This window comes from Homo sapiens, chromosome 14, assembly GCF_000001405.40.
Source record: "Homo sapiens chromosome 14, GRCh38.p14 Primary Assembly".
NCBI lineage: Eukaryota > Metazoa > Chordata > Mammalia > Primates > Hominidae > Homo > Homo sapiens.
In genome coordinates, this window is record NC_000014.9 from 80,925,329 (window position 1) to 80,941,142 (window position 15,814).

The 15,814-nt window shown below is 41.3% G+C and overlaps 1 protein-coding gene across 14 annotated transcripts in view, besides 3 other annotated features; it reads right to left on the reverse strand.

The window, feature by feature from the left end:
• Positions 1-15,814, reverse strand: part of CEP128 (centrosomal protein 128) — a 482,534-nt gene that overhangs the window by 448,360 nt on the left and 18,360 nt on the right. For 12 of the 14 annotated variants that reach the window (NR_157142.2, XM_047431023.1, XM_011536493.3 and 9 more), the window contains one exon: positions 14,057-14,212. The exons of the other annotated variants lie outside the window; for them this stretch is intronic. The gene's annotated coding sequence lies outside the window, so the exon portion shown is untranslated. The remainder of the gene's footprint in view (positions 1-14,056; positions 14,213-15,814) is intronic. 14 annotated transcript variants of the gene reach the window in all.
• Positions 5,580-5,709: an enhancer, noted in NCBI's record as "active region_8818". NCBI's record gives its function as "activates an Ori minimal core promoter by ATAC-STARR-seq in GM12878 lymphoblastoid cells {active_cell/tissue: GM12878}" and the evidence as "EXISTENCE:reporter gene assay evidence [ECO:0000049][PMID:35858748]".
• Positions 5,730-5,799: an enhancer, noted in NCBI's record as "active region_8819". NCBI's record gives its function as "activates an Ori minimal core promoter by ATAC-STARR-seq in GM12878 lymphoblastoid cells {active_cell/tissue: GM12878}" and the evidence as "EXISTENCE:reporter gene assay evidence [ECO:0000049][PMID:35858748]".
• Positions 6,610-6,659: an enhancer, noted in NCBI's record as "active region_8820". NCBI's record gives its function as "activates an Ori minimal core promoter by ATAC-STARR-seq in GM12878 lymphoblastoid cells {active_cell/tissue: GM12878}" and the evidence as "EXISTENCE:reporter gene assay evidence [ECO:0000049][PMID:35858748]".

The window sequence follows — 15,814 nt, forward strand, 5'->3', positions numbered from 1 at the left end:
CCAATGAGATTGAGAAGAAACATGAGAAGTAGGTGAAAAACTAGGGGAAATTGTACAACAGAAGTTATGAAAAGAAGGGTTTCAAAAAAGTGAGAAAAAAACTGTTAGAATTTCCCAGTAATCAATGAATTGCCTTTCAACTCCAAATCCATCCTTCATTGTCTGCTCTTTGCAAACAGAGCTGAGGCCTTTAAATATTTCTCCTTTGTAGCTAGTGTGATGTTAAACTTTGTCATAGAAAGTGTTGGAAGGGTTTTTTGTTTTTTTGGTTTTTTTTTTCTCCAAGATAGTGGAATGGAGGCATTATTGGCATGCCTCTCCCACTGGGATAAACAAAATAGTGTGTAGAAAGTCATGCTATGAACTTTCTTCCAAGAAGCAACACAGGAACTTAAAAAACACTGAAAGAAACCACAAACCCTTTGAAAGAAGCAGTGGGCAGTAGTCTACATGATAAACCAGGAGGAAAACTGGGAGTTGCCAGAGCATGAGTGGGGAGGAGAGACTGCCTCCATGATACACTCTCCCACTGGGGAGCCGAGCAATCCAGGCCACAGGGGAACACCTTAACCCTACCTAGCGCTGGTGCTACTTAGTGAGCAGTGAGGTTTTATGAAAAGGAGCAGCATCGAACCGTGTTTACTCCCAGAACCAAGCAGGGACAGAGGGAAGCCATTCCTGATCCTACCTCACAGGGGACCTCACCTGAAGTCTGCTGGTTAACTGAGGCAGTGGTCACAGGTTGAGAGAAGCTCCCAACTGAGACCTGTGATATAATCTTTAGTGGGGACAAATGCCCTTGGTCAGAACCGAGGGGTGGGCAGAAAGTGTGCTATAGCCACAGGCACAGGACCTGGGTGCCTCTACTTCATGGGCTGACCAGGAGGGGCACGACCTAAAAGCTGGTTTCTGTGTCAGTTGGGAACACTTATGGCTTGGGACAGTTTTGAGGGCTGCCTGGAACCCAGCTAGCTACTGCTAGCACAACACTGTGGGTATGAGACCTGCCTTGCCAAGTTCATGGGAGCTGAGTGGGGCTTACTGCCACCCGCTACCACACCCTTCCCCTTGTGGATTCTTCTGTGCAGCAGACGTAGCTGTGCTCCTCCCTGGAACATTACCCCTGCGACCAGGGAACTGCCCTCTAATCCCCATTGGAGCCACTATTTGCACTCAAACGTGGGGAGCCAGAGTGTGGACTTGCCTGACCCAGCCCCAACTAGCTTTGCCCATCCACCTACTCTGGTAGCCTAACACAACAGACAGAGACTTTTGCATGCTCCATGGCCCCACCCATTGCCTGAGACACTAGAATACCTCCCCTGGGTAACATAAGGCAAGCACAAATCCCACCACTGATACTGCAACTGTTGCTCTTTTGCAAGCACCACCTCCAGGCTGGAAGCAAACCAGCACAGCCCATTACAATATCTGCAGGCACATCACAGTGCTCAGGAAGGAGAAAACTTTTTGCATGACCTCAGCTACCACCATTGCCTGCATCACCCTGGTTAACCAGGAGGCCTTGAGTCTGTCCACAGCCCCAGTACATTACTACTACAGCTGGCATTTGAGAAAGCCAACACACTAAGGCTATTTATAACCAAGGAAATCTCACAGAGTCTATGTCACTCTCCTCTCACCCCCATCAGAGCCATGCTAGTACTCACTGTTGGGAAACTGGAGGACAGTTTACAGCAGTGGATCCCTTTTAGACATTCTCCAGCTCCAGCCCAGAGTGCGGCAGCCCCACTAGGTGGCTAGACCCAGAGCAGCAGCAAGATTCACAGTGGTCTGGCCGTCAGAAACTGCTACTCCTAGGGTAAGGGGGCGTGTACCACATTAAGAGGGCAGACACCCCGTCGGACAAAAGAAACCGGACTGCAGGCTCTGAGTCCCTGAACCTTCCACTTGTGGGAAGTTTCTTTCAGCAGAGGCACAGGTGCAGTGCTGGGCTCAGTAGGAAAAGTATGTGGCTCTACCCCAATTGTCAGGCAGCCCTGGTGCTCATGAAGGATCTTGGAAAAGGGAACTATTTCTCCCCCTCACTCAGCACTGCAGACACAGCTGGGGCTCCTCCCACAGGAGCATGGCATGGGTGCATCTGTAGACAGCCTTTCCATAACACTTCAGGGTGACTGCACCCCCACAAGAGGAATGTCCTCCAGGTTCAGGCTTGCAAGACAGCTAGAGTCACAGTCCGCCTCTACATGCATGAAAAGAGGTGCCTGTCTGATCTGAATAGCCAGAGCACTTCGTGCAGAGTGTGACTGGGAGGTGGATTGCTTTCCCAGTGGCCCAGAAGGGAGGCTGTGGTGGCTCCCTCCCTTGCCCACCAAAAAGACCTCAGTGCATTTCACTGAGAGCTTTCCCAGCCATCTCTGTTGAGGCTGTGACCTCTGCCCACCACTGGGATACTGCATTTACCCAACTGCTTTAGTTGTAGCTGTTTTTCACCATGGGCACCTCCTACTGGCCTGAAGCCTGAACTGTTCAACCCAGTAAATAAAACAACAGGAAAATAAAATTTTAAGTGCATACCTCTGAGGAATGAGATAAGCTTCATAAGATTTCTACCATTCCAGCCCCACAGGAGAGAGTAAACCTGCTCACACACCCAGCACATCGCTACTACAACCAGCATCAGAGAAAGCCATCACACAAAGATTTTCTATAACCAGGAAACTCACACAGAGTCTTTGCCATTGAAAGTACCCAAAGCCAAAACTAGGTGACAATCAACTATAAACATTAAAGTTACATCCTCAAGGTGGGGCAGCGGGGAGAAGAAAGTTTTTAAAAATCCCTGTCCAATCAAAAACAAATTCAAAAATAATTAGAAGAAACAGTCTACCCAAATAAGAAGGAAACTAGAAAAATAATTCTGGCAATATGAAAGAACAGAGTTCTATAACACTCCCAAAAGATCACACTAACTCTCCAGCAATGGATCCAAACCAAGATGAAATTTTTGAAATACCAGATAAAAAATTCAAAAGGTTGATTATTAAATTATTCAAGGAGATAAAAAGGAAAGGTGAAAACCAACATAAAGAAATTAATGAAACAATTCAGGACATGAATGAAAAATGTTCTAAAGAGACAGACATTGTAAAGAAAAACAAACCAGAACTTTTGGAAGTGAAAGACACATTTAGGGAACTACAAAATGCAGCGAAAAATCTTAACAGTAGACTAGACCAAGAAGAAAAAAGAATTTCAGAGCTCGAAAACAAGGCTTTCTAAGTAACCCAATCAGACAAAAATAAAGAAAGAAGAATGAATAGATATGAAGAAAATCTCCAAGAAATATGGAATTATGTAAAATGGCCAAACCTAAGAATCACAGGCGTTCCTGAGAAAGAAGGTAGATCCCTGTCACTCTCCATATACATAATTAACTCGAGATGGATTAAAGATTTAAATCTAAGACCTAAACCTATAAAAAATTTAAGAAGAAAACCTAGGAAAAACTCTTCTGGACATTGGCCTAGGCAACAAATTTATGACTAAGACCACAAATGCAAATGCAACAAAAACAAAAATAAATGGGACCTAATTAAACTAAAAAGTTTCTGCACAGCAAAAGAAATAATCATCAGAGCAAACAACCTACAGGATGGGAGAAAATACTTGCAAATTATATATCCAACAAAGGGCTAATATCCAGAATCTACAAGGAACTCAAACATATCAGAAAAAAAAAAGTAATCCTATTAAAAAGTGGGCAAATGACATAAACAGACAGTTCTCAAAAGAAGATATACAAATGGCCAACAAACATGAAAAAAAATGATCAACATCACTAATCAGAGAAATCCAAATGAAAGCCACAATAAGATACCATCTTATCCCAGCAGAATGGCCATTATTAAAATGTCAAACAACAATAGATATTGGTGTGGATGTAATGAAATGAGAATGCTTATACACTACTGATGGAAATGTAAATCAGTACAACCTCTATGGAAAATAGTATGGAGATTTCTCAAAGAACTAAAAGTAGATCTATCATTTGAATCAGGAATCCCACTACAGGGTATCTACCCAAAGGAAAATAAGTCACTATGTCAAAAAGACATCTGCACATCTATGTTTGTCACAGCACAATTCACAATTGCAACGATATGGAATCAACCTAAGTGCCCATCAACTGATGAGTGCATAAGGAAAATGTGGTATATATGTATACCATGGAATACTACTCAGCCATAAAGAAGAACAAAATAATGTATTTTGCAGCAACTTGGTTAGAACTGGAGGCTATTATTCTAAGTAACTCAGAAATCAAAAGCCAACTATTTCATGTTCTCACTTACAAGTGGGAGCTAAGCTATGAGTACACAAAGACATACAGAGTGGTAGAGTGGACACTGGAGACTTGGAAGGGGGCAGTGTGAGAGGGGGTTGAGGGATGAAAAACTACCTATTGGGTACAATGTACACTACTCAGGTGACAGGTGCCTAAAATCCCAGACTTCACCACTATACGATTCATCCATGTAACCAAAAACCACTTACATCCTAAAGCAGGGGTCTCCAGCCATGAGCCAAGGACCACTACCAGTCCGTGGCCTGTTAGGAACCGGGATGCAGAGCAGCAGGTGAACAGCGGGTGGGTGAGCAAAGTTTCATCTGTATTTACAGCTGCCCCCTTCACTTGCATTACCACCTGAGCTCCACTTTCTGTCAGATCAGCGGTGGCATTAGATTGTCCTAGGAGCACAAGCTCTACTGTGAACTGTACATGCAAGGGATCTAGGTTGTGTGTTCCTTATGAGAATCTAATGTCTGATGACCTGAGGTGGAGCTGAGGTGGTGATTCTAGTGCTGGGAGCAGCTACAAATACAAATTAACATTAGCAGAGAGGTTTGACTGCCCAGAGACCGTAGTAAATCTACTGCTTGCAGACTCATATCAAAACCCTATCAGTGAGTGGCAAGTGACAAGCTGCATCTGGCGGCAGGCTTTAAGTCAGGATCTGATACTTCAGTCCGCACATGGCCCGCCCATTATTTTATTTACCACTTCTGTCCATACCTCTTTCCTGCACTATGCACTTGTCTCAGTCACTGTTTTGGTAAGCCCGCAAGCTACCCCTAGCCAAAATGAGTAAAAAACAAATGTCACTGGAGAGCTTCTTTGAAAAGGGGGAAAGATCCAATGATGGGACAGCAGAAGATGCTAAAAGTGCCAACAAGAAGAAAACTCCATTTAAAAAAATTACCAAGAGTCCTCCTTAAATTAAGAGTTCATTGCAACAGGTGATTCGCCTTCTCCAAGCCTGCTTTGTGTATGTGATGACCAGCTATGCAATAAAGCCACGAAACCTTCAAAACTGCTTCACCACATGGAGACCATGCACACTGCATTAAAAGACAAGCCTCTGGAGTTTTTCAAAAGAAAAAAACATGAACACAAAGAACAGAAGCAATTATTGAAGGCCACCACTTCATCAAATGCATCTGTACTGCGAGCATCATTCTCAGTGGCTAACCACATTGCTAAAGCTAAGAAGTCCTTTACTATTGGTGAAGAGTTGACCTGCTTGCTGCTAAGGACATTTGTCATGAACTTTTAGGAGAGGTTGCAGTTCAAAAGGTGGCACGTGTTCCTCTTTTGGCTAGCACTATAACTAGATGAATGATGAAATAACAGAGGATAGTGAGGTACAACTGTTAAAGAGGATTAATGAGTCATCGTGGTATGCAATCCAGGTTGATGAGCCTGTCAATGTTGACGATAAGGCAAGAATGCTTGTTTTTATGTGATATATTTTTCAGGAGGATGTGCATGAGGATACGATATGCGTACTTTTGTTGCCAACCAACACCACAGCTGCAGAACTATTAAAGTCTTTGAATGATTACCTAACAGGAAAACCACATTGGTCATTTTGTGTTGGTATGTGCACAGACGAAGCAGCTGCCATGACTGAACGGCTTGCTGGTTTCACTACTCAAGTCAAAGAGGGTGCTTCTGAATATGAGTCTATGCACTGTGTCATCCATGGAGAAATGCTGGGTAGCTGAACAATGTCACCTGAACCTAACAACGTTTTGCAGGATGTGATTAAAATTATCAGCCACATTAAAGTACATGCCCTTAACTCATGTCTGTTCTTGCAGCTCTGTGAGGAGATGCAGAGCACACACATCATCTCTTATACACAGAAGTGAGATGGCTTTCTAAAGGTAGATCACTGGCCAGAGATTTTGAGTTACAACAGCTGCTCCAGAGAGTTCTTTTAGAAATACAGTCACTACTGGCAGCACATTTCAGTGACACAGAATGGGTTGTAAAACTTGTTTACTTGTGTGACTGACATATTCAAATTCAACCTGCTCCACAAACTCAACCTGTCACTTCACGGGAAAACGACAACTGTGTTCAAGTCAGCAGATAAAGTGGATGCATTCAGAGAAAACTAGAATTATGGGGGCAACCAGTGAACATTGGGATTTTTGACATGTTTCAAATATTAGCAGAGATTTTGAAAGAGACTGAGCCAGGGCCTTCTTTCTCCCAGCTGGTGTATGATCATCTATCTCAGCTTTCAAAGGAGTTTGAGTATTACTTCCTAATATAGTCTGGCTGTGTCTCCACCCAAATCTCATCTTGAATTGTAGTTCTCGTAATCCCCATGTGTCGTGGGAGAGACTGGTGGGAGGTAATTGACTCATAGGGGCAGTTACCCCCATGCTGTTCTCATGATAGTAGTGAGTTCTCACAAGATCTGATGGTTTTATAAGGGGCTTTTCCTCCTTCACCTGGCACTTCTCTCTCCTGATGCCATGTGAAGAAGGATGTGTTTGCATCCCTTCCACCACGATTGTAGGTTTCCTGAGGCCTCCGCAGCCATGCGGAACTATGGGTCAATTAAACCTCTTTCCTTTATAAATTACCCAGTCTCGGGTATTTCTTCATAGCAGCATGAGAATGGACCAACATACTTCTCAACCATAAAAGATCCCCAAATTGGGAAGAAATGGTTCCGCAACCCACTTGTAAATAAACCAGGTGAATCAACTTTGTCCATGCTAGAAGAGGATCAACTTCCTGAGATTGCAAATGACTCTGGCCTTAAAAGTATGTCTGAGACAACTTCAAACCTCTATATGTTCTGGATTTAAGTCAAGGCAAAATATCCTGAGATTGCCTTGTGCACCAAAAAGCCTGCTTCCATTTCCAACATCTTATCTTTGTGAAGCAGGTTTTTCTGCAGTGACAGCAACAAAAATGAGACTACAGAGTAGAATGGACGTAAGCAACACACTTTGGGTGTCACTGTCTCCCATGACCCCAAGACGGGACTGTCTAGTTGCAGGAAAAAAAAGCTCAGGGCTCCCACTGACTCTATGGTGAGTTGCATAATTATTTCTTTATATATTACAGTGTAATAATAACAGAAATAAAGTACACAATAAATGCAATGCACTTGAATCATCCCAAAACCATCCTTCTCTCTGCCTCCCAGTCTGTGAAAAAATTGTCCTCCATGAAAAGTGCCTCTGGTGCCAAAAAGGTTGGGGACCCCTGCCCTAAAGCTATTGAAACCAAATAATAATAATAATAATAATGATTTTTTAAAAGGACACTGCAGAAGGAAGGCGCTTCTCTTTCTGGTTCCATGTTTTCCATTTGTTGCATTTTCATTTCAGCATCCTGTGTGAGGATATCCAGTGGTACTCAACTCCATCAAGTTTCAGCAGTACCCACATTGGGCAGCTTCCCATCAAGTTTCAGTAGCCCCACCCCCTACTCAGATTCTTACTGAATCTGACAGACAACCTCACAGTCAATCCCCCAGCTTCACCCTACCAGCATCCTGGAGAGGTGTTTCCTGCCCATCATTCGTGGTGTGGTTCCCTGCCTTCCAGCGTCACTCCGCCTTTAATTAGGAACAGTGTCCTCTCCTTCCCCAGCAACTGTGGATCAGCTATGGCCCCAGTAACTCAGTAAGTCTCTCCACCATTCAGGGAGCTATAGCCACACCTCCAACAAGGTAGGAATCCCAGCCTTGCAGAGAGCCCCCTCTAAGTTTATATCTCCTTTGGGCACTGTCTGTCAGCCCAGGGGATTCTTTAGAGTCATCTCTGTCCTTTTACAGATAATCCCCTTATAGTTAATTATATCAGGAGTCAGCAAATTTTTTTTCTCTGCCCAACTGTGAGCCTCTGCCAGCTGTAGCACAAAAGCACAGACAATTATAAATGAATGGGGTAGCTTGATTTGACCTGTGGTAAGCTAAATTTAGCCCATGGGATATGGCTTATCAACCTCTGCTGTATGTTAAGCTTTCCCTGTTAAAATTACTATGGGACATCTGTCTCATCTGTTTAGGGGCAAATGCTGAGTGAACTCTGAGGGACAAATCCAACAAATACGTCAAGTAGGAAAAGGAATAGAAAGTATCCTTTGGAAGTGCTAGTGACTGTATCAAAAGCAGTCTCAGTAAAATGCTTAGGTGAGGACGATGCCAGGTTGTGGAGTAAATAGGAGGTGAAAAAGCAGAAGCACTGTGTATAAATCATTCTTTTAGGAAGTCTGCATATGTGAAGAAAGAGATTAGTAGCTAGAAAGGAATATTTATGTGTGGGAAATAAGCCTTAGATTGCAAAATATTTGAGACTCTGATGCCAGGGAGGTCCGATATACAAGAAATAAGATGGCAGACTTCAGACAAGCCCGACCTACCATTAGGATCCATGCAAGCAAGTCACTTACTGTGGAGAGTCCTATGCAACCACCAGCTGAGGATGTGCTACACATCTTTCCTGCAAACACTGTGACACACTTCCCCCACCCTCTGCAGTTAATTCCCAGCTTTCAAGCCTCCTGTCTTAATAAGTTACACAAATAATGGCCTTCATCCTAAAACTGCTTTACAGTACCAGATGGTTCAGCAAACTATGGCACAGCCAATTTTAAGGGTCAGGAAGAAGATAATGATTTCTTGTCTAAGAACTCAAAGACCATCCTTTGGCAAAAGTTTATTGAGCAGACCTTAAAATTAAAGGTCAACAGGAAATGTTTTTTAAAACATCGATAAAGTAGAAACATACTGGATTTAACGATTGGAGCACATAGCTGGAAATCAGAACATCAGAGGTACAAACGCGAGAACCACCATTTACTGAGCACCTAGGTATGACAGATACTTTGCATACAGTAAAGTATCTCTGCAAAGCTTGGCTTAACCTCAGGCCAATCTTACAAGGCAGGATTTCTAACCTCCCTGAGGGCATATACTAGCTCTTGTTCATCTATTCCCAGGCCCCAGCATAGTGTCTGAGTGTCCGGCACATTCAATATTTACTTCTTAAATGAACAAAGTAGTCCCTTTTTTGCAAATGAAGAACTACTAACGCTCCCAGTAGTTAAGTAGCTAGAAAAGCCTGGATTCAAACCATAATCTTAAAGCAACCTTCTAAATAAATAGGAGACCCCATAACTGGAAACATATATAAACCAAGACAAAAAAGAATATTTGTTTTAATTTTTTTTCTGTAAAATTATGAGACTATAACTGGTATATTACTTGCTTACATTTATACAAAGGCATAATAATGTTCAACTTTATTGAAATAATAATAGCTATTGATTTACAGTTTCCTATGGACTAATTTCTGTACTAAGTGCTTTATGTATGCTCTCTCATTTGATCCTCATAACATTATTATTATCATCCCCATTTTACAGAAAACAGAACTAAGGCTTAAAGGAGCAAAGTAACTTAAGTGGCAGAGCCAGGATTCAAATCCAGGCAAGAAGACTATTTCCGAAACCCAACTTTTTAATCAGTACACTTGTTACATGTAAATGGCAGTGGTGAGAAAGCAAAAAACAAAAACAAACAAACAAATGAAAAACAGGTATACCAATGAGTAAAGGTACTCTTCCCTAAAAGCAAAATAAGCTGATAAGAATAAAGTGCTTGGCTGGGCACAGTGGCTCATGCCTATAATCCCAGCACTTTTGGAGGCCAAGGTGGGTGGATCACTTGAGGTCAGGAGTTCAAGACCAGCCTGGCCAGCATGGTGAAACCCTGCCTCTACTAAAACTACAATAATTAGCTGGGTGTGGTGCTGAGCACCTGTAATCCCTGCTATTTGAGAGGCTGAGGCAGGAGAATTGTTTGAACCCAGAAGGCAGAGGTTGCAGTGAGCCGAGATTGCACCACTGCACTCCAGCCTTCTGGAGTAAGACAGAGTAAGAGTCTGTCTCAATAAATAAATAAATAAATAAATAAATAAATAAATAAATAAATAAAAATAAAGTACTTATTGTTGTATTCAAGCTATGAGTCCCCCCACCAAAAAAAAAAAAAAAAAAAAAACAGAACACACATGAGCTAGCTTAAGTGAAACAGAAATTAATCGTTTTTAAAGAATACAATAATGATGGTAGTGGTGGTGGTGGTCATCATGGTAGAAGCCAAAATAAGCAATAATACTAATAATTCAACAATTAAATGGCCCTTTTCTGTGCCAGGCTCTGTTCTAAGCACTTTACTTGTATTAACTAATGTAACCCCAACAGTAGCCCTAGAGTAAACATAGCTGTAATCAATATGACAGGTAAGGAAACAACTTCCAAAAGTTAACTTGCCCAAACTCAAAAAAGTAGAAAGCTTTCTTACACACAGACATCTCTATTCCATAACCAAAACCTAGCAGGCTCAGTTCCAGGCTGTATTTTTGCTCTAATTTCATCAGGAGTCCACCCTGCTCCAGCACTTCAGAGCAGGAGACAGAATCAAATGGACCAGTGCCTGGGAAGTACAGAATTAAAGCTCATCCATTCATTCATGAGCACATTCGTTCACAAGCACTTATTCATCCATTCATGAGCACCTGTTTCACAGCAAACCCTGTATGCAGAGTAGATTCTAAATGTTTATCAGGCCAGGCACAGTGGCTCAGGCCTGCAATCACAGCACTTTGACAGGCCAAAGTGGGAGGATCACTTGAACCTGGGAGGTCGAGGCTGCAGTGATCCAAGATGACACCACTGCACTCCAGCATGAGTTACAGAACAAGACTTCATCTCAAAAGAAAGAGAGAAAGAGAGGAAGGAAGGAAGACAGGGAAGGAGGGAAGGAGGGATGGGAAAATGTTTATCAGAATGAATTAAATGGATTCATGTAACCACAAATACTCCCATCTCCCAAATACCCCAAGCACTAGCATTATAGAAATTTCAGAGAGGTGTGCATATCCGATAAAGGCCTGACAAGTCTCTGAGTCATTCATAATTAGTGATAACAAGATACCAGAAACAAGCTTTAAAAACTAAAAGAAAAACTCACAAAAATATTTGCATTATATGGGAACCAAAGGGTTAATCAGCTCTTTCAAAAACACAAGAAAAAGAACAGTCCAGTTGTAAAAGACTCAAAAGATACATAAGCAGACAATTCACAGAAATCAAATGACCCTAACAAATGTTATTTGTTATTTCACTAAATAATTACAAATTAAAATAATAAAATGATATTCTTATCTATCTGTTTTATACAGATGAAAAAACCTCTCACTCGCAGGGTTAGCAAGGTTATACCTTGTTGTAAGAGTATTAACTATAAAAACTACATTAGCATGTATATCTACTATGTACCCACAAAAATTAAAAATTTAAAAAAAAAAAACCACATTAGCTTTTCTGGAGAACAACCTGGCAATACAAGTAAAAATAAATAATACGGGCCAGGCGCAGTGGCCCATGCCTGTAATCACAGTATTTTGGGAGGCCAAGGTAGGAGGATTGCTTGAGCCCAAGCGTTCGAGATGAGCCTGGGCAACACAGTGAGACCTTGTCTCTACAAAAAAATAAAACAAAATTAGCCAGGTGTGGTAGTGCACACCTGTAGTCCTAACTACTCGGGAGGCTGATGTGAGAGGATTTCTCAAACCTGGGAGGTAGAGGCTACAGTGAGCCAAGATAGCACCACTGCACTTCAGCCTGGGTGACAGAGTGAGACCCTGTCTCAATCAATCTGTAATATACATAGACGTTGACCCAGAAAATCTATTTCTATGACTATTAACCTAGGAAGATAAAATATTTATATATATTTTATGTATAGACATATGCATAAGAATTTCACTGTAGAAATTCTTCAGAAATTTTAATTCACTCATCCATTCATCCATGAGCACATTCATTCACTCCAGCCTGGGCAACAGAGTGAATGAATTTTTTTACAGTTGTAAAAGAATAAGAAAAAAATATAAATCCACTGGATAAGCATACAATAAATGTATCTAATCACTGGGATACTATGTATCTGCTAAAAGAGACAAGGTTGAATGGTAAGTGCTGACCTGTAACAATACATTTTACGAAAAAAGAAAAACATACTATACAATAGTATGAATGTATTGTAACTACTTTATATCAGAATCAACCCAGAGACATTACATGGATAGTGTATTCTATAATATACATGCTAATATAGTTTTTAATAACCTGGTAAATCTAGATTATTTTTATATTATTTCCAAAATTTCTGGACCAGATTATCCCAATAGGTCCCCCATCCAGCTCTAAAATTCTTTAATCCTAAGAATTTTTTTTTTTTTTGAGACAGCATCTTACTCTGTCACCCAGGCTGGCATGTAGTAGTGTGATCACAGCTCACTGCAGCCTCGACCTTCTGGGCTCAAGTGATCATTCCACCTCAGCCTCCCGAGTAGCAGGGACCAAAGGCACATGCCACCATGCCTGGCTAATTTTTTGATTTTTTTGTAGAGACGGGGTCTTGCTATGTTGCCCAAGGTGTTCTAAAACTCCTGGGCTCAAGCGATCCTCCTGCCTTGGCCTCCCAAAGTGTGGGATTACAGGCATGAGTCAATGCACCTGGCCTAATCCTATAAATTTTGTACACCACTGATCTTAATACACAGTGTTAGTATTTTTTTTTTTTTTTTTTTGAGACAGAGTCTTGCTCTGTCGCCCAGGCTGGAGTGCAGTGGCGCGATCTCTGCTCATTGCAAGCTCTGCCTCCTGGGTTCATGCCATTCTCCTGCCTCAGCCTCCCAAGTAGCTGGGACTACAGGCGCCTGCCACCACGCCTGGTAATTTTTTTGTATTTTTTAGTAGAGACAAGGTTTCACCATGTTAGCCAGGATGGTCTCGATCTCCCGACCTCGTGATCTGCCTGCCTCGGCCTCCTAAAGTACTGGGATTACAGGCGTGAGCCACCGCGCCCGGCCACACAGTATTAGTACTGCAAGTCCGCAGTGTGTCTCCCCTCTATGTTTCAGAGCCTTTTATCTATCGAGCACAATATGAAATCCAAAAAAAGGTCCAGAATTTTTACATCTATGTTGTAAATTTAAACTTTAAACATTACACCCTTAATTATCAATGATAATTCATGTTGAATTTATTTATGGAAATCACAAATTATAATGATCTCTTACCTCAATAATAATATAAGGACCACTATATTTTTTTTAAAAAACTAAGAAAGATAATAGAACTTTTTGAACATTGAAAGAGATGAATAACTGCACACTGTGCCATATATGGTCCACTTAATCCAAAAATGTTAAGTGTGAATCAAATTCTATTAGAGGGCACTTATAAACAGCAATGAAGCCCCTTGGCAGTGGGTGGGACTGAAATTTGGAGTCAGAAGACCTGGGAACAATGATCACTCTTTTGGCTCCAGAATCCCAAGCAAATTAAATAACCTGAGACTCAACTGTCTCCTTTGTAAAAGATAAGCATGGTAAAGGAATTATATAATGCCTGTAAAAGGTGTCTGACAGAATGCCTGAGACAAAGCAGGTTCTCAATTCCTTGCTTAATAGAAACAGGTACATCACTGTTGCTTTTGTTAAGGTTATAAAGGATATCTCAACTTATCTACTTTGTTCATCTGAATTTTTGCAACACTGCATACACAATCATTCGATATTTTATTTTTAAACCATATATTAGAAGGGGCTTCTTGCTCCCAAAACTCTATTTCTTGGCATAGTCTTTTCTACCATAAATATGCAAAAAATGTGTTATCTCAGAAACTCAGGGAGAAAGCATACTTACAAAGCACACCCCCAAAACTCCGAGTTGCTCTTCTCTGAGCTCAACGCTCTTTTTAGGCACATATGTCTGCCTCCTATCATTTCTTCATGAGGTTCAGGGCAAAGGGCCTAGTCAAGCCGATGATCTTTGGTTGCCCCTACACTTTCCCCAAACCACCTACAAATAAACAAAACAAGGGGGTAAGACATACCTACAACTTTAAACATTTTTAAATAATGAAATATGAAAATTAAGTCCCTATGTACAGACTATGGCATAACACAGAATAGAGAAAATGCTCCTAGAATGATTCAAAAGCCCAAGAGACCTCACTACAATTCTTCACATCCAAGTGCCCAGCCCACATATTGTCACTGGTGACTTCCATCCATGCCTGGGCATCCCTGGGGCTTGCCAGAGAGTTCATGCTCCAGTGTGAACCGCAGCCCAAGTCTAGCCAAAAAGTACTATGTATGAGCATGTCTAAAAGTTGGTAACTAAGTCAGGTAATACAGTTAACATGTTACTGCTGAATGTGGTGACCCAATTATACTTCCAAGCCAGTCTAACACTCCTAAAGGAAATATTTTATAAGATGCCCAGTTCTTCCCATACTCAGTGCTACAATTAAATAAATAAGAATAAAATGCCTTTGGTTGTAGAAAAGAGCTGTGGACAGAAATATTTTCAATTAATTGTGACTGCTTTCAAAGCAATCTGTAAGAATCCACAGGAAGTGATCCAGAGAACTGGGAGTTGTCTACATAAAAGGTAGATCTGGGAATACATCTATAAACCATTTCAAGAAAAAAAAAAGGTATTCTGAAAAAGTTAATCAAAATAAACTGTCAAGAAACAGTTCAAAGAGACCCAGGTTATGCAATGGCAGACAAGATACGCTGAGAGAACATAGGCACAGTGCACACTTCACTCTTCTAACAAAACAGCCACCATCACCCATGAAATGAGTCATAGGCACAACCAAATTTATGTGTGCCAATGTGAAACTGCCAAAGTTTTAACCTTATCTCTAGTGCTGTCCAGTACAGCAGTCACTAGACACATGGCTACTGAGCTCTAGCTCTTGCCAGGTCAAACTGACATGTGCTATACATGTAAAATACACAAGAGATTTTGATGACTTAAAATATTTTTTTTTTTAATGTACAGCCAGGCATGGTGGCGAGTGCCTGTAATCCCAGCTACTCCGGAGGCTGAGACAGGAGAATCGCTTGAACCCAAGAGGTGGAGGTTGCAGTGAGCCCAGACCGCGCCACTGCAGTCCAGCCTGGGCGACAGAGCCAGACTCCTCAAAAAAAAAAAAGTAAAAATCTCAATAAGTTTTATATTTACTCCATTGAAAACATTTTTCTATATTGCGCTAAATAAACTATTATTTAATTTCACCAGTTTCTTTTTACTTTTTTAATGTGGGTACTACAAAATTTAAATTCACCTGAGTGGCTCACACTGTATTTGTATTAGACAACACTAATCTGCATAATTAATAAAAAATAAACAACAAATGCTGAGCACTTGCAGGGTGCCAGGCACTGTGCTAGATACTTTACATAATACTCAAATCAATGCTGCAATTAATGGTAAAGTTTTACCAGACGCCTACATAACAGATTGGCTCCATCAAACCAATAAAAGATGCAGCTGGGATTCAATGTCAGGTATTTTTACGAAATAATTCAATTAAGGGACTGCTAACAGCTAAGGCTGGAGCAAATCCTATGATGGCACGGGAAAGAGAGGTCACTAATAAAGCGTTCC